We start from the raw sequence: 18,710 nt of genomic DNA, 5'->3' as shown, positions 1-18,710 counted from the left end.
ATCACGAGCTCAGGGGTTCAAGACCATCCTGGCTAACACGGTGAAACCCCGTCTCTACTAAAATACAAAAAATTAGCCATGCGTGGTGGTGGGCGCCTGTAGTCCCAGCTACTCGGGAGGCTGAGGCAGGAGAATGGCGTGAACCCGGGAGGCAGAGCTTGCAGTGAGTAGAGATCGCGCCACTGCAGTCCAGCCTGGGCAATAGAGAGAGACTCCGTCTCACCAAAAAAAAAAATAAATAAAAATAAAAGGCAAAAAGTATTTGTCTTGTTCGTCAATATAATAAAAGTAGGATTTACTCCATTAACCTCAGTATATACATCTATATAATGGGAACAACTAGCCCCACTTAAGAAACAGAGTTAGAAGTCAGAGCCTCCTGACTTCTGATTTCTAGTGCATTGTCCTATTTCTACTTCATTCAATAATTGGTTGGTTTTCTAATTGGGATGGGGGTTGGGAGTGGGAAAGAGGTGGAGGAAAAAGATGAGAAAATCACAACCTATTCCTCTTAAGAGTAGCCAAGGCAACATTATTTTCGCAAATGAAAAAATCAAGATACTCATTTACCTGCAGCAAACCTTTTCTTGATGAGTGAAAATCGATACCCTGCTCCAACAAGTTCAATGTCACAGCCAGAAAGGGTGCTTCCTTCACTTGTGAACTGCACAACCAATGGAGAAGGTTTGCTTGGGCCTTCAGATAACTGAAATCTTGCCAACAAAGAACCCACCCCTAAAAAAAAACACATTATTACAAGGTAACAGTCAACATAATATTTCGGATATAATTTTGGAGGTTGCATTCAAAAGTTAACGTACAAAATCAGACATGATTCTTTGACAAAATGGTGATTAAATGAGTTTATCATTGAATATTATGAGCAATTCTATTTGCACACTGGTAAAAGTGTACTTCCATGAGATGGTACCTCAAAATTTGAAGACGTGCTACTTGGAAGCCCTTGTATTTTCCAACCTATGATTAATATCTGAGGAGAGTGAAAAATATCTAATCAGGGAGCGTGGAATCTGACACAGGATGGAAACATGCCTCCTTAAGAGGCCTAAATGATAGTTTGTTTGATGTGGAGTCTGTAGAAAAGGGGAAAAAGAGAATTCATTGAAGAATTATTTGCTTTTATTAATTGAAATAAGTAAACGCAAAAATGGAGTGAAATATTCTGCTTGTTTTTATTGCTACATGTTTTGGGTAATAGTTGGCAAATACCTAAAGCCATTTTAGCTTTACATGTTAAATAAAATAAACTTGTGATTCCATTACCTCCATTTTCTGACTTCTGAGAGATATCAGGAATCTTCCACAATATTCTCTGTTGTTCAGCATTCCTAAAAATAAATTAGGTAAAAGGTTTTTGCATATCCAAGAGTTTTTGTTTACTGGATGCCATGTTTTTTTTCCAGATAGTATTAATTTTTTAAAATAGAGCTTGAAAACTTTCACTACAATTTAAAAATTCCCTGTCTCTCTCTCTCCCCTCCCAGACATACATAAATCTCTTTTTTCCTCTGTCCTTATTGTAACTAGCTAGAACACCATGAGATGAACATTGAGAGGACAAAGTAGAATTAATTTTTTTTAAAATAAATCTGCTAAGACAGATACATGGGAAGATAGGAGTGTTAATCAATTAATTAAGGTAATTTAAATTGGGGTCATGATCTGGCTGACATTCATTTTTAAAACAAATTCCACTTTTTGCTTCTGACAGTCGTATGGAAAAAGTGAAATGCTCTTTCTAGAACAAGTCCTTTATAATAGATGATATAGGCACAATGTATCTATTCAGTTTCTAGTCCCATACCTTCTCTAGTGTGCCTTTTTATAGTTCAGAGGCTACAAAATGAAACACTACATTTCTCAGAGGCCTTTGCAGTTAGGGTCCTAGGTACAAATTAGGTTTACCAATTGCATGCACGGTTTGAGATTTAGAAGACAGAAGGGAGACAGAGGCCATTCTCCTGCAGCTTTCTTGACTGTTTTCCTCTGATCAGCAATCTAACTCAGATGTGGGGATCTTCTAACAACAGGAGTCCACTCTAGCCTCTAGTTTGTGGGTGCCAAGAAGCACTTAAGGAGGTACCAATAGGAGCTTGCTGGTCCTAGGATCGGAATTACAGCTGTGGCTTCCTGAATTCAATGGTTCTACCGGTAGCCTTCTACTTTCTCTCCTTCCCGGGATTGTGGCAGGCCAGTTCTGCAGAGCTCTGGGAGGCATTTTTGGAGATCCAGCCTGTTCCTTTAGCACTTCCACCATTGTGTAAGCATTGAAGTCCCTGTTGAATTAGTTTTTGCTTAAAATAGCTACCAGTGGTTTCTATTTCCTGCCCTGAACCCTAATGCACAGGCCTGCTGTCATCTCCTCCTACAGGACACGCAAGTGCTAAGGAGTCTGTGACCTCTTGACCCAGAGGAGCCCTTTGGTGGAGAGAATAGGAGGCTTCATACCAGACTGCTGGTGGGAGCACTGCCTGGAGCTTGGTGACTCCTCCGTCGATGGGGACCAGGAACTGCACATTGTTGAGGGCCACAGCAGTCGTCATTGCATCTGTATTATATTTGTAATCTATGCGCAGGTCAGTGCTTGAAGGCTCACATCGCCAATTCACTGCCAGGTTCAGAGGTGTGGACTGAATGCCCTGGGCAGACACCTTGCCGAACGACAGGAAAGAAAATAACAACATATGACAGGGATGTTCTTAGACATCAAACAAAATGTCATATGTTGTTTATGCTGCTCACAAGCAACCGTGAGTGAGAGGCACCGTGAAGCGTGCTGTGAGAGAGCTGGGTGCTTCAAGTAAACTGTTACAGACTAAAAACACGAAAGCAGCTATTAGAGTCTCGGTGGCACTTTGGAGTTTTCAGTACACTTCGTGTCAGTTAAGGAGGTGGAATAGCATGCTGGCCAGGAGCTGAGGCCAGGAAGCTAGACAGTCCCAGGTGTGAGTTCTGATTCTGCAACTCTACTTACAAGCTGAGTGATCTTGGACAAGTCCCTAGCTCAGAACCTCTCTGAGCTTCTGTACTTCCCTCATCCGCTAAATGGGAATTACAACAATAATATTTACCCATAGGGTTGTCAGGAAGATTGAAGGAGGTGTTTTTTTGTGAAACACTCAGCAGGATGCCTAGCACACACTAGGAATACATTTTGATAAATGTCACCTATTAATATTCTTACCATATTTGCTCTTCAACAACAAACCAGTGAGTTAGACTAGGGTAGGTTAGTATTACTCCTTTGGGATTTCACACCTGGTTTCAAGGCCTTGCTTTGGCAAATCCCAAAGGGAGTAACAGGAAGTTACTTCTAGTTTTTACTTCCTTTGGGATTCCTTTAGCTGGAAGTGCTACAGTGCTAGAATCTACTGTTGATACTAATTAGAATCAGCTGTGAGCTTGACCAAGAAAAAGCCAGGTTTGAAGAATCAACAAACATTTATCTAAAGACAATAATATTGATGTGAATTCTGGGTCCACAGTGAAAAATTCACAGTGTTGGAATTTCTCGATTGTTCGTTATGGTGGTGAATAGGTGTCTAAGAAAGTCACTTCTCATGAGTACATGTACATTGCAGGGATCAGATGAGTGGTGTCTATGCCCTTGGATTTTTATTCATGGACTGTGATGAGCTTTGCTGATTTTGAAGGATATAAACAACTGTCTAGGAAATGCCTGCACATATGATCACCATGGAGAAGGGTCCTGAAGGTAGACTGAACTCTCAAGGCAGGAGTGGTTATGGCAGAAACAAGCCCCCAAATGGATTCTTTTATAAAATGACAGATATGGCTTTTGATGACAATTTAAGCTAGTTAATCATTATAGTTTTTAAACTTTAAATATTATTGGCAGCATAATGCTTTCTGCAGGCAAACATTTATTAAGAAATCTATTAACTAAAGCAGATCAAAAGCAGAGCAGAATCCCCCTCCCCCACCCCTTTTTCTGGACTCTGTCCTCAGCAGTAGTTCTCAACCTGATTATAGTTCCTCTACCTGGGGAGGTGCTTTGTGGATATATGAAAATGTGTTTTTGATCGTCCCAATTTCTGGGGGGATGCTATCGGGCCAGAAACTAAACATGCTGCAATTTAAGGGCCATTTCCACAAAATGCTAGTTGTGCTTCTCCACCCAATTCCTTGCATTGTTGAAAAACAACAACAAAAACACAGCTAAACAACAGCAAAAGGGATTCCTCAGAGAACACGTTAAAATAAAACAGCAAGTCTAGGACTGTTGACATTTCACAAAGTACTTTGGAATATATTAGGCTATTATTAGCTTCTTATAGCAACCTATAAAATAAGTAGATATCATTATTACCCTTATTTGTAGATGAGGAAACTGAAGTTCTGGGATATTAAGCACCTGAGGTCAGTGGCCAGTAGAAAGCTGACTTAATTCTAGAATTCAGTATCTTGCCTACACTTTATTTATTTATTTTAAAAAGTAGAGATGGGGTCTCATTATGTTGCCCAGGCTAGTCTCGAACTCCTGGGCTCAAGTGATCCTCCTGCCTCAGCCTCCCAAAGTGTTAGGATTACAGACATGAGCCACCGTGCGCAGCCCTTGCCTACACTTTAATACTTTACACAAAGCTCATACTGCAATAGGTGAATTCTAATTTCTAGATTTACTTAATAACAAATACGGAAATGAAAAAAACTCTATAGGATTTAATAATTTAAAAAATTTTTTTATCTGAAGTGAAGATGTACATGCAGTGTATATAATTAGAGTCCACGAAGGGAAAGAAGTGCCAACTTATTTGCACACTTTGGGGATGCAAACCATACATGAAAGTTAACTTCTGCCTCGAAATTTAACTTCTCATTCAGAGAAAAAATTACATTTAGAGTTTTCCTTTCTTATTTCCTTTCATTTCTCCCAAAGCATAAAGCAGTCACTAAGCATGTTTAAATATTTTGGGAAGAAGTTAAATAAAATGTGTTTTCTATTATATTTTAATTTGTAAGTGATGAATTTATGCCATATTATATATTTTTTCAGTATTATCCATAATGTTTGAAGAGTATATACTATTCTCACAAGAAAAAATTATATTCTTTTGCATTTCTGGAAAATACACCATTTTATAGATATTTCACTTTAAATGGTTTTCTTACAACAATTTAAATAAATGTTTTCCAAAGCAGAGGATGCATAGACTCCCTTGAGAAACTTATACAAAGTACAGATACCTGGGTGGCATTCTAAACCAATTAAATAAAATTTAAAAAGTATATTTAATATATATATCTGCTAGGTCCTAACACCCCCCAAAATACATATATGTATATTTAATAATGATCTCTACCTATATTTACATATAATACGCAATATATTATATTCACATATAATACGCAATATATTATATTCACATATAATACGCAATATATTATATTCACATATAATACGCAATATATTATATTCACATATAATACGCAATATATTATATTCACATATAATACGCAATATATTATATTCACATATAATACGCAATATATTATATTCACATATAATACGCAATATATTATATTCACATATAATACGCAATATATTATATTCACATATAATATATTCACATATATTATATATTATATTCACATATATCATATTATATTCACATATAATATATCGTATTATATTCACATATATCATATTTATATATTTGCATATTTTATATAATATTTTAAACTATTTGTATAAATATTTATATTTAAAATATTTGTATAAATATTTATATTTAAAATATTTGTATAAATATTTATATTTAAAATATTTGTATAAATATTTATATTTATGAATATAATGTGTTATTTTATATGTTATAGATTGTATAGGTTTTATATGTATCTAGGTTGTATATGTAAATATTATAAATAAATATTTATATTATTTAAATATGTATACACATATATTTCTTTTTAGCATCAATTCAGAACCAGCATTTGATTGAGAAATACAGTCAAGTTTGAGATGTCCTGATTTTTATTAAAGTACAACTTCCTTCATTTGAAGAAAAATAATCTGAACATATTTAATAAAAAATTATAATGCATTAAAAACGTGGTAAATGAAATGAGCCAGGCACAGAAAGACCAATACCACACGATCTCACTCTTTTTTTTTTTTTTTTTTTTTTTTTTTTTGAGACGGAGTCTCGCTCTGTCGCCCAGGCCGGACTGCGGACTGCAGTGGCGCAATCTCAGCTCACTGCAAGCTCCGCCTCCCGGGTTCACGCCATTCTCCCGCCTCAGCCTCCCGAGTAGCTGGGACTACAGGCGCCCGCCACCGCGCCCGGCTAATTTTTTGTATTTTTAGTAGAGACGGGGTTTCACCTTGTTAGCCAGGATGGTCTCGATCTCCTGACCTCATGATCCACCCGCCTCGGCCTCCCAAAGTGCTGGGATTACAGGCGTGAGCCACCGCGCCCGGCCCACACGATCTCACTCTTATGTGGAATATTTAAAAGTTGATCTTGGCTGGGCACAGTGGCACTTTGGGAGGCCAAGGAACGGGGATCATCTGAGGCTGGGAGTTCAAGACCAGCCTGGCCAACATGGTGAAACCCCGTCTCTATCGAAAATACAAAAATTAGCCAGGATGATGGTGCATGCCTGTAATCCCAGCTACTTGGGAGGCTGAGGCAGGAGGATCGCTTGAACCCAGGATGTGGATGTTGCTATTAGCCGAGATCGTGCCACTGCACTCCAGCTTGGGCAACAGAGGGAGACTTCATCTCAAAAAACTAAATAAAATAAAATAAAATAAAATAAAATAACATAAAAATAAAAGTTGATCTTATAGAATTAGAGAGTAGAATGGTGGTTACCAGAGGCTGAGGTAGTGGTGGTGGGGTGGGGTGGGGGTTTGTTTAGAGAGATGTTGGTCAAAAGACACAAAATTTCAGTTAGATGAGAGGAATAAATTCAAGAGATTGATTGCATAAGGTGGTGACTGTAGGTAATAACCATATACTGTATTCCTGAAAAATGCTAAAGTGAATGGAAAGTGTTCTCATCACAAAAATAACTATGTGAGGTAATACGTATGTTAGTTTAGTCATTCCATAACGTACATATATTCAAAATATCATGTTGTACCTAATACAGACATACAATTGTACCTGTCAATTTAAAAAATAAAAAAGTTTAAAAAAATCTAGGGAGTCAGCTGGTGTGGTGGCTCATGCCTGTAATCCCAGCACTTTAGGAGGCTGATGCGGGCGGATCACCTGAGGTCAGGAGTTCCAGACCAGCATAGCCAACAGGGTGAAATCCCGTCTCTATTAAAAATACAAAAAATTAGCAGGGCTTGGTGGTGCATGCCTGTATTCCTAGCTACTCAGGAGGCTGAGGCAGGAGAATCGCTTGAACACAGGAGGTGGACATTGCAGTGAGCCAAGATTGTGCCACTGCACTCCAGCCTGGGTGATAGGGTGAGACTCTGTCTCAAAAAAAAAAAAAAAAACCAAAAAAATCTAGGCAGTCAAGTGGCTGGGAACCAATGAGAGACTCAGGCACTATCAGGATCCTGGTATGAATTAGGCTTATTTAGTATATCAATAATAATTTGAGATAAGGGCAATTCTAGATACAAAAAGAAAGTTCTCATATATTGTAAGTATCAAACATTCCTTTATTATTGAACTATTTCTTAGTGTTAGATTTTATTAGAATTCTTTCATAGGACTATCTTACTAGAAAAACAAAAGCAGATTGTGTACCTTGAATCATTTAAAATAAGAGGTTTTAGTATAGTAATGTTCTTAACAAAATTATAATCATCTTGTTTATCAATATAAACTTATAATCTTAATTAGTATAATGTTTTGCAACTTCATTTTTTTGTGGCACATTTCTCTAATTTTGTGATAAAATATTTTACTTGTAAGCTTAAACTAATAAGAATATGTATGAATATTTTTGTCAGTAGTCCCCAAGTTATCTTTTAAAGTTTCCATTTAAAAAAATGAGTTATAGCTTTTAAATACTGTTAAAAGAAGTGTTACTTTAGTTACTTTTATTCAATAGTAGGTACTTTAGAAAACAAATATGTCATGTGGAAGAGATACCGATCATGTAAATAGGCTTACCTGATATTTGAGCATGTCAACGTTATAATATGTAGCCTGGGGTTTTTGTTCAGACACTTTCTTTAGGTGAGTCATCAAATTTGGCATGTTTACCCAGAATTCCTTGGTATTGGCATCATTTTGTGTATTATCACTGTTCATTTGGGAAGAAAAATGATTGAGTAGCATCTTAAAACAAATATAAACCCTACACGAAGCATCTTAGCAAATTGTCGTCTGATATGTACAGCCATTTTTTGACAATTTGTAGAGATTATTATGAATCTATTAACAGTAGTGTGGTTTTCATACAAATACAGTTCTGAATGCTATGGTGTTGGTAGATTAATATCCACGAGGAGGAGCTACTGTGTTGCTATCAATCTCAGTGAGTGCTCAGTAATATTAACTAATTGCGATGATAATTGGGAGCTTTAAAGAGTGAATTATTTATTAACTCAAACTTAATATCCCTTTCTATGAAACCAGCTTTGTCTAAATTAGTCAGTTAAGGCAATTAAGGAACTGAATACGTTTATTTACTTTTGAATTACTTTGACCAGTAGTTTCTCAGAAATTATCCAGTGAAATATTTGGCCAAATGTAAACATGGTCTTTATCACCAACTAAGCAGAAAAGAGTGATACTAAAATTACCATGCTGCCTTTTCAGCATTCATAATATTTCATCCATGAGCATTTAAATCATCAAAGATTTCACTTCACTTATAAGATGATCCTGGAGTTTAAATGATAATTTTGGTAGTTATAATACAGAAGAAGAGCAGAGTCTCTATAAGCTAAGAAGTTTTATATCCCTATGAGAGTCTTAGCTTTGCTCAGAGGCCTGTATACAGACCACTTACCCAATCTATCTTGCAAATGCTCATCTCAATGATAAAAAGAATCAGGCAAGAGTGTACAAACATATAACTCATTTCCCGTATAATGAGGAAGCTGAGGCCACAAGTGATTCAGTTACTTGTCACACACATTTGCTGACAGTTCACTTTCAGAATATCCTATATAGTGCAATAACAGTAGTTACAGTTTCTTAACCACCTATTATATGCTAGGCATTATAAACTATTTCATTAAAATCTACCCTGCAAAGGAAGAATTATTGTCTTTGTTTTTAAAGATGAGCAAACTTGTTAAAAAAAAAAGAGAGAAAATTAGGGGTTGAGAAGAGAGAAGGCTGATACAGTGAAAAAGTGAAAAGACAGGTCAAAAGTAAGTTGCTATGATTCAGCCTCCAGAAGTCTCATAAATCAAGAAAGCTGAGTAAAAAACACCAGGGCTTTAAAACTGTCACTGATCTGTTAGGAAAGAGTGGCCAAGTCTCAGTGTGACCAGTGTGGTTTTGCTGTCCCTGGATATAAAGTTATTGAGGATGAGGCAAAGCTCTTTGGCCCTGGAAATGGAGGAAGGGGGTGGAAAATACACCTGGTCCTTAAGACTTTGCCCCTTTTCAGTTGAGCTAGGGATGCTGGTAAGGGCTATCTGAGTTTTTTTAAATTGAAAAGCATCTAAGTTACCCAAGCTCCCAGAGCTGTTGCTATACAAGCAGGCAGGAGGTAAGAGTAACAGAGGGTCAGTGAAATTAAATAATTTGCTTAAGGTCATGCAGCTAATAAGAAACAGCCAGATTCCAGCCCATATCAGTTCTACAAATAACACTTTCACACCATGCCAAAATAGAGGTTCAGAATTAATATCTAGCAACATGTCATTAATTTGTACTAAGTAGATTTGAATAACTGGGAAACCCTCAATTATATAATGCTATTTTAAAGAAATACATTTGCTGAGATTAATAGCAAAATAAGCTGTCATAGGTCTGTGATAATTTCTTAGAGAACCTGCTTTAATAAATATTCAAGAAAGCTTTGCCAATCAAATGCTTACACAGAGATGGAATTCTTAAATGCTCAAGAAGCCTTGAGCATTCTTCAGTCTCATACTTGAGTTGACAATTGTTCCCGCATATTTTTTACAAGCAAACTTTTTTCACAAGAAAAAAGTAGATGTAAATTTCAATTTGGCCCCTGTCATAGGGATTGCAAACTGAAATGTCTCCAGGGGCCATGGTGACATATGAAGTCTTCTTCAGTAAACATTAAGGAAACAATTGGCTGATGATAGACACTAAAGGCTGGTACTGCAATCTAGAATCATGCTTGGTCAACAATGCCTTTTTAAAAAACTGGGGATGGTTGTGGTGGTTGAGGTAGTGGAGTGGCACTGCATAACGAAACTAAAGAGTCTATAGATGACTAAAGGGTCACTCATCACAGCCCTGTTACAGTGATCAAGTAGAGTTCATAAGATCCAAATTAATGGGATATATTTTATTTCTTTTTTTTTTACTTTTGTAAATAATAATTTAAGGGTCTATATAATATTTTGTTAAGCAAAACCACTTTGAGTGATGTTTGATTCTATGTATAAGACCAGTATGTTAATATATGTATACAACTTTTGCACATATGCCTAAGAACTTGGCAACATAACTGCCTAAAAATGCAATGCAACAAAAGCTGTAACTATGACACCAGTCATATTTACAAACAAACTGGCAAGATATTGGCACATAATTCCTAATTTCAGATGGAGGAACCTTGAAAAATAAACTGGCTCAACGTGCACAACCAAAAAATGGAGGGAAACTGAAGCAAGAATTCGAATTAAGAGACTTTTTCCATTCCCTCACGGTTTGCACAGTCTTGTGGGGGAGATGGATGAATGAAGAAACACAAATAGATATGTCATTATTAACTGTAGTAAGTGCTACAAAGGAAAAGAACAGGGTACCTTTAGAGAGAATAACAAGGGGACAGAATTTATTACGTTGGCACAAAAGGAATTACGGTTTTTGTCATTTAAAAGTAACGGTAGAAACTGCAATTACTTTTGCACCAAGCTACTAGTTTGGGGCTGGTTGGTGGGGGTATGGGGAGGAGAATGGGATAGTCCAGGAGGCAGAGTAGAGCTGAGACTAAAGGATGAGTTGGAGTCAGGTGAAGAAGGTTGAAACAGTATTCGAGGCAGGGGAAACAAGTACTACAAAGCCCTGTTGTGGGAAAGGATGCAGCCTGTTTCTGAGATTGGCAGGTCTGGCTGGAGCTAAAAGGATTCTGAGGCAGGATGGTGGGAGATGAGAATGGAGAGGCAGACAAGGGTAAACAACTCAAGGCCTCAAAGGCAATGGTAACAGGTTTAGATTCTGGGACAGGTGTAATGCGAAGCCACCAGGGAGTTGTGAACAAAGGAGACCTGATTTACTCACAAAAGACCACCTGGCTGTTGAAATGTATTGGAGAGGGGCAAGATTGGATTCAGGGAGAGAAGGCAATTGCAGTGGTATGGGGAAAAGACAGTGGTCACTTGGACAAGGGAGGTGGCAGTAAAGAAAAAAGTGGCCACTTCAGAGAGAGGTTTGTAGATGAACATCAGGACTTGATGGAGAAGCTGTCAAGAAGACTTCTTTCAGCTCATTCACTGCAAATAATTAACTTGTATAATTGATCATTTTAATAGCATGCATGCATGTGGGTTTGTGTGACTGTGCATATGCATAATAAAGACATCAAATTCAGGTTTAATAGTTAGAAAATGTGAAAAATTACATTGATATAAACATATTTGCATAAGTTTCTTTTATGTCATACATGTAAAATTCCATCAAAACAATGATCATTACAATGAAATTGTATTAACTATTAAACCTGAATTTGATGTCTTTATTATGCATATGCACATGCACAGTCACACCTACACACACAATTGATTTAAAAAGAAGGCCAGGCGTGGTGGCTCATGGCTGTAATCCCAGCACTTTGGGAGGCCAAGGCAGGCAGATCACTTGAGGTCAGTAGTTTGAGACCAGCCTGGCCAACATGGCGAAACCCCATCTCTACTAAAAATACAAAAATTAGCCAGGTGTGGTGGTGGGCGCCTGTAATCTCAGCTACTTGGGAGGCTGAGGCAGGAGAACCACTTGAACCCAGGAGGCGGAGGTTGCAGAGAGCTGAGATGGTGCCACTGCACTCCAGCCTAGGCAACAGAGCAAGACTCTATCTCAAAAATAAAATAAAAATAAAAAGATGCTCATACAATGAAAGGATTTTATTCTTGTTATTTGGCTCATTTCCCACCATTGTCATCCACTGTCTGTTGATAATGAGTAAAACAGACGATGAACAAACTGTTGCTGATACAGATTTTCTTACCCTGTCTCTCTAACCACTTGAGATAGTTGGCCATTAAAACACGTATATGCATATGCAGTCACACATTCACACACAACCACCCACAACAAATTTTGATAGCTGGTAAAAGTTCTGTGCTTGAATCTACAAATATATCTGAGTGGTGGTAATTTCACTATAGTGCGACCCTGTTGCTAAGATATATCCCTCATCTAAGTACAAAGTACTAAGCCACATGTATCTCTGAAAAATTTATGCAAAATCATATTTACCAGCAGAGAAGTTGGGGGTTTGGCAGGACGTGTTCTAACCTGCTGAAATTTATCACCCGAAAAGTCAGAGCAGCTGGGGACGGGTTGTTGGCAAAGTGTCTGGTGATGCCAGCAGGAAATGACAACACCATTTCTCCGGTAATCTTAACGATACATCTGGCATATCAAAACACAGAGAGGAAAGAGAGAGAAAATCCATGTCAATACACTGAATCAAAACTGCTGTGAAAAACAATTTATGAGGCAATGTTAAATAGCAGAAGAGATAAAAGGCAGGCTCTTACAATTCCATTAAAAAATACTTTAACTTCTATTTTAGGTTCAGGGGTACATGTGCAGGTTTGTTATATAGGTAAACATGTGACTTGGGGGTTTGGTGTACAGATTATTTTGTCACCTGGGTACTAAGCATAGTATTTGACAGTTTTTTTTTTCTGAACTTTTCTCTTCTCCCATCCTCCTCCCTCAAGCAGGCCCTAGTTTCTTTTGTTCCTCTCTTTCTGTCAACATGTTCTCATTATTCAGCTCCCACTTATAAGTGAGAACATGTGGTGTTTGTTTTTCTGTTCCTGTGTTGGTTTGGGAAGGATAATGGCCTCCAGTTCCATCCATGTTCCTGCAAAGGACATGATCTCATTCTTTTTTTATGGCTGCATAGTATTCCATGGTGTATATGTAACACATTTTCTTTATCTAGTCTATCATTGATGGCCGTTTAGGTTGACTCTGTGTCTTAGCTATTGTGAAGAGTACTGCAATGAACATACCAATGCATGTGTCTTGATGATAGAATGATTTATATTTCTTTGGGAATATAACCGGTAATGGGATCTCTGGGTCAAAGGGTAGTTCTGTTTTTAGTTCTTTGAGGAATCACCACACTATTTTCTACAATGGTTGAATTAATTTACACTCTCACCAGCAGTGTATCATTTCTAACTTATCTGAGAACTCAATGGTCAGCACTTATTTTAAAAAGTGACTATTTTGTTTTATGTGTTTTGAAATGTAAGAAGAAAAGTACAGCTTTTCTCTTTCTGTAGAAGTCTATAGCTTCACCTCATGAATAGAATCCTCTACTCTGGTGGTTCTCCCTCACTTTGATTTCTGAATCTTTGGCAGCATATTTGAAGATAGTATATTGTACAATGTTATCACATTATTTCCTGGACTTGTCTTACTTAGCTCTTCGAGTAACATGAGTAATGCCTTTAGCATGTTGTTTTATGTACTCATGAGGTAAAGTTTTTGCCTTGCACTTAACTAGTTCTTCATTCCATTAATTTGTCTATTTGGTCAAAATTGTAAACTCAGTCATATAAGTTAACACAATGGGATGATAGCGTGGAAGGAAAAACAATTCTTTTTTTTTAAAAAAGGCTTTATGAAGATATAATTGATATATAATAAACTGAACTTATATACAGTGTAAAACTCCATGAGATTATATGATGTAAAATCATCATACAATTAAGAAAATGAACATTTCCATCATCCCTGAAAGTTTTCTTATGCTTTTTTGCAATCCCTTTTTGTAATCTCTCCCACTGCCTCCTTTCCCTGTCCCTAGGCAAGAGTTAATATGCTTCACTATAACTTCATTTGCAATTTCTAGAATTTCATATAACAGAATTGTAAGGTGTGTGATTTTTTGTTTCTTTCACTGCACATAATTATTTTGAGACTTGTTCATGTAGTTGTGTGCACTAATAGTTCATTTCTTTTTGTGGCTGTGTAGTGTATGGGTATACCACAGTTTTAAAAAATACATTCACCTACTGAAGAACATTTGGCTTCTTTCCAGTTTTTGCCTATTACAAATAAAGGTGCAATGAATACGCGTGTACGGGTATTAGTATGAATATACCCTGTCATTTCTCTTGGTAAGTACACAGGAGGAGAGTCACTAGCTCACATAATAGGTGTAGACTCTCAAAGAAACTGCCTAACTGTTTTCTAAAGTGGAAAATACAGCTGTGCATGAGGGTTTTAGTTCTTCCACATTCTCACCAACACTTGGTAGAACTGATCATTTTAATCTTAGCCATTCTCATAGGTGAGTAGTGGTATCTTCTTGTTGTTTTAATTTGCATTTCCATAATGGCTAAGGATCATCAGCATCTTTTATGTGCTTGTCATCAGTTATCCTCTGCTTAAACTGTCTGCCAAGTTTTTAAATAGGGTTGTTTGTTCTCTTATTGAATGTCAAGGTTTCTTTATACATTCTGGGAATGTCATTTATCAGATATATAATTTGCAGCCCAGTCTGTGGCTTGTTTTGTTTTTTCTTTCTCTTAAAAGGACATTTGAAGAGCAGAAGTTTTTAATTCATCAATTTATTCTTTTATGGGTTATATCTAATCCAGTCATTCTTTCGGTGTCTTATTTAAGAAATCTTTGCCAAACCGAAGGTCACAAAAGTTTCATTTGTATTTTCTTTTTCCTTTTTGAGACAGGATCTTTCTCTGTCACCCAGACTGGAGTGCAGTCGTGTGAGCATAGCTCACTGTAGTCTCAAACTCCTGGCCTCAAGCAGTCCTCCTGCCTTGGCCTCCCGAACTGCTGGAATTACAGGCATGAGCCACTGCAACTGTCTCACTTATATTTTCTTCTAGAAGTTTAAAAAAAAATCTTTGAGTTTACATTTAGCTTCATTACCCATTTTCACCTATTTTAGTCTTACAATGTATATAGTGTCAAGTATGGATCTCAGTTCATTTTGTGTGTGTGTGGATATGAATATCCAGTTGTTTCAGCATCATTTTTTTGAGAAGACTGTCCTTTCTCCACCGAATTACCTTGAAAATTTTGTTGAAATCTAATTGCCCTTATCTGTGTGAGTCAATTTCTGGATTCACGATTCATTCTGTTCTATAGATTTATTTGGTCTATTTTTTAAGCCAGTATTGCACTGTCTTGATTACAGTAGCTTTATGATAGTTCTGAAATCAAGTAATGTTAGTCCTCTAACTTTGTTCCTTTTCATAGTTGTTTTCGCTATGGTAGGCCCTTTGAATTTCCACATGAGGTTTATAATCACCGTGTCAATGTCTATATAAAATCAATCATTGCCTCCCCGTTCCAATTCACCCTTTACTGACTGCTCTGAGAAAATTAACGGATCTTTATTGTATTTTTCTCTTTGCCTGCAGGAACCATGCTTAGTTTTGTCAGTAGAGGGCGCTAGAGAGACATTGCAGGAGAAAGGGGTTTTCCTTCACCCTTCCAGCCTGCTTGCAAATGCAGGCTCTTGCAATGCACAAGGCTTACGTAGTGCTAGGTTGTTGAAGTTACAAGAGGCTTGTGTGTGGCTCCTGCAGTGCATGTAGTGTCCCCAGAGTGTAGGTTTTGCAAGCCATATAACTCTGCCAGTGCCTGGTAGCACAGACAGCTTTCCTGTCATCTGACTCATGTAGTACAACTGGCTGGGCTGCCACAATGCCCAGATCTTGCAATGCAGATGGATTCTTTTCCAGCCTCCTGCCATGTTCACACCTTCTCCACTGCCATCTTCTGCAGTGCATGGTGGCGGCAGCACCCATCAACCTTAGCTTCCCCTGGCAATTCCCTCGGCCAGTTTTGTAGTAGAGTGCCTCAGTGAAACACCTTCCCATGAGCAGCTGGAAGTCAGCTGGGCTCTCCTTATGCCAGGCCTGAAAACTCTCAAGCAGGTAAGCTGGAGCAATCATAGGGCACACCTCCCCTTTTAGGGATCACTGCCTTCGCCTGAAGTCCAGTGTCTTGCAAGTCATTGTTTTATATATTTTGCTTATTTTTAAGCTGTTTGAGGTAGAAGGGTAAATTGGTCTGTTACTCTACCTTGGCTAAAGCAGAAATTTCACAAGGATTTTATTCTTCTTTGGGACACAGTAAATGCTTAAAGTGAGTGAGCTTCTTTATGATTTCCTCCAATGTCTCCACAGCTGACTCTTGTAGTACTTCACCTCTAAGTTCAGGTATGTACTTTCTGGGGAAATTGATGTTAATAAATGAAAACTTTGCTCACATTGGAGCATGGAGACTCCACGTTGTCCTACAGTCACCTTGGATATTGTGTAACTCTAATGGATGAAACACACATGGTTCAGGTGAGGTGCTGTCTGGCATACATTCAAAATAGCTTAAATGAGGAACTGCTATAACCTTGTAGGTATAAGGCTGGGTTTGGGGCAGAGATTGGGAGCAGATGAGCTTCTTAAAGATGCCATGTGAGCCTCCCTCACTCAGGTGTTAAATCCATAACTTTGTAGTGCTCTGAATGGGATTTTTGGTTTCTGGAAGTTTGCATTTCCATCTCTCCTGGAGAACACTGCTGACCTCCCAGTTTGGGAGCAAACTGCTGTCTTCCTTCTCTACCTTTTAGATCCATTAACCCTGTTTGTATACTAGTGCCAAATTGGTTCTGAACCTTGATTTCCCCTCAAGCTGAGTCTACTCTTGATATTTGTCCATATGTGGACATGTAGAATATTGTTTGGCAGCTATTAGAAAACAATTAGAGCACTTATAAAATTAGATTTCAGCACCTACCATCACTTAGAATATTGTTATTAGCAGTGGTGGCTCAACTGTTCTTTAACTGGTAGGGAATTTTCTCAGTTTTCTTGCCAAGTTGCTCAAAATGAGATCTAAATGGTGTCTTGGTAGGAGATAAAGTTTCTGTTTTGAAAGCAAGTCAGACAGGGGAGGAGGTGGCATTTATTAACTCAACAGGCATCTGTCTATTCACTCCTAACTATGCAAGTTGTTCTTGTTATTTTTTCCAGTGGGGTGGTAATTTAAAAATGAGCAAAATAGCCTCTGCTTTCAAAGGGCTTACAGTGTTGGGTAGAAGGTGGGAGAAGTAGTCCACGTAGTCCTGTGTAAGAAGCACTGAGGCCTCAATTACATTTCAGCATCACAACTGTCAGAGCCAGAACTTTTGCTGACTTATTAATCCATCCAGTGTCTAAATTGACCTGAAATTTTCTATATAAAAATTTAATATTTTCTATACTCACCAAAGAATTTTTTTTAACTTAAGGATTTTTCCTACCAGTATGCAAGGTGGCTACATTTCATGTGAGTTTGAATGGTGGAAATAATGTGAGATGGAAATATGAATAGATGCTTACTTCATGAATAAAATAAGAAATCATGTGAATCCTCACAAATGAAACATTTGTCAAAAAATGGCAAAACTTCAAAGTCAACCAGCCAAGTGACTTATACACTGGATTTTCCCTAGCTGGTCACAGAAACACTGGCCAGTTTTGTTCAGGGAATGTGTGAGGTCATCAGAGATGCATCTCTCTCATAAAATACAATTTATATGTACTGCTAACAAAACCCCTAGGTCTGTTTCTCAGTGTACATCTGTGTAGATGTAGCTTCTCTTCTTTTCTTTACAATTCCCTTTCTTTGGCTTATGTACTGCTTTTCATATTACAAGACTAAGTTCAAAAGAAGGCCTTTCCGAAACATTTCTTAATATCCTCTCCATTTAGCCTTCCTTGGTTTCTCCTTTCTCTGGGTTTGCTTGGAGATAGGTACAGATCTTTTTCTAGGAAATTATGTTGCAGTTTCACGCACATCTTATCTACTATTGTGAAGACAAGTTCTGGGTCATAGGTTCTGGGAAGGCAACGGTGCATAATGTAGAACTCAGAGTAAGAACTCATTGTTTAAAAAATAAATTCATACATTTATTTATTTATTTATAGGGTGCCTACACAATATACCAGGCACAATGTAATGTGCTAGATTTGGCAGTGACAAATTGGACAAATGGTCCTTGTGCAAATTTCTAGTTTAAACTGGAAGACAGATACTGAATAAATAATTAAAATGTGATGATAAAAGAAGGATAAGAGAGAGCCGAGTAACCTAAGCTTTTCTAGGGAATTAGAGAGTTAATCTCTGACCCTTGTTTTTAAGCACCAATGTTCTTTAAATAGGAACTAATAGCGGGAGATGTGTTTCCCCAATCAGTAGCAAAGGTAAGGAATTTGCTGCCTGTGAGCTACTGAGAAAGTCTTACATGTCAGAATACCTGTTATGGGTGCTCCGAATATTTACAGTATAACTATATTTAAATGGGTTACATATCATAGTATATAAAAATTAAGATAGTAGATTTCTGTT

At 37.5% G+C, this 18,710-nt stretch overlaps 1 protein-coding gene across 52 annotated transcripts in view; it reads right to left on the bottom strand.

Moving 5' to 3' along the window:
* SGIP1 (SH3GL interacting endocytic adaptor 1) overlaps window positions 1-18,710 on the bottom strand; it is a 217,779-nt gene that overhangs the window by 9,133 nt on the left and 189,936 nt on the right. For 51 of the 52 annotated variants that reach the window (NM_001376535.1, NM_001376549.1, XM_047432059.1 and 48 more), the window contains 5 exons: window positions 12,588-12,743; window positions 8,127-8,259; window positions 2,470-2,672; window positions 1,285-1,349; window positions 571-735 (listed from right to left, as the gene is read on the bottom strand). In NM_001376535.1, coding sequence (NP_001363464.1) covers window positions 571-735; window positions 1,285-1,349; window positions 2,470-2,672; window positions 8,127-8,259; window positions 12,588-12,743 — 722 coding nt within the window. Of the gene's footprint in view, window positions 1-570; window positions 736-1,284; window positions 1,350-2,469; window positions 2,673-8,126; window positions 8,260-12,587; window positions 12,744-18,710 lie in introns of those variants that run through there. The other variant, XR_007064415.1, reaches the window with a different exon arrangement.

This window comes from Homo sapiens, chromosome 1 (assembly GCF_000001405.40).
Source record: "Homo sapiens chromosome 1, GRCh38.p14 Primary Assembly".
In the NCBI taxonomy this organism is placed as follows: Eukaryota; Metazoa; Chordata; class Mammalia; order Primates; family Hominidae; genus Homo; species Homo sapiens.
Note: the sequence above shows the minus strand (reverse complement) of the source record. Positions and strands in the feature narration are given on the sequence as shown.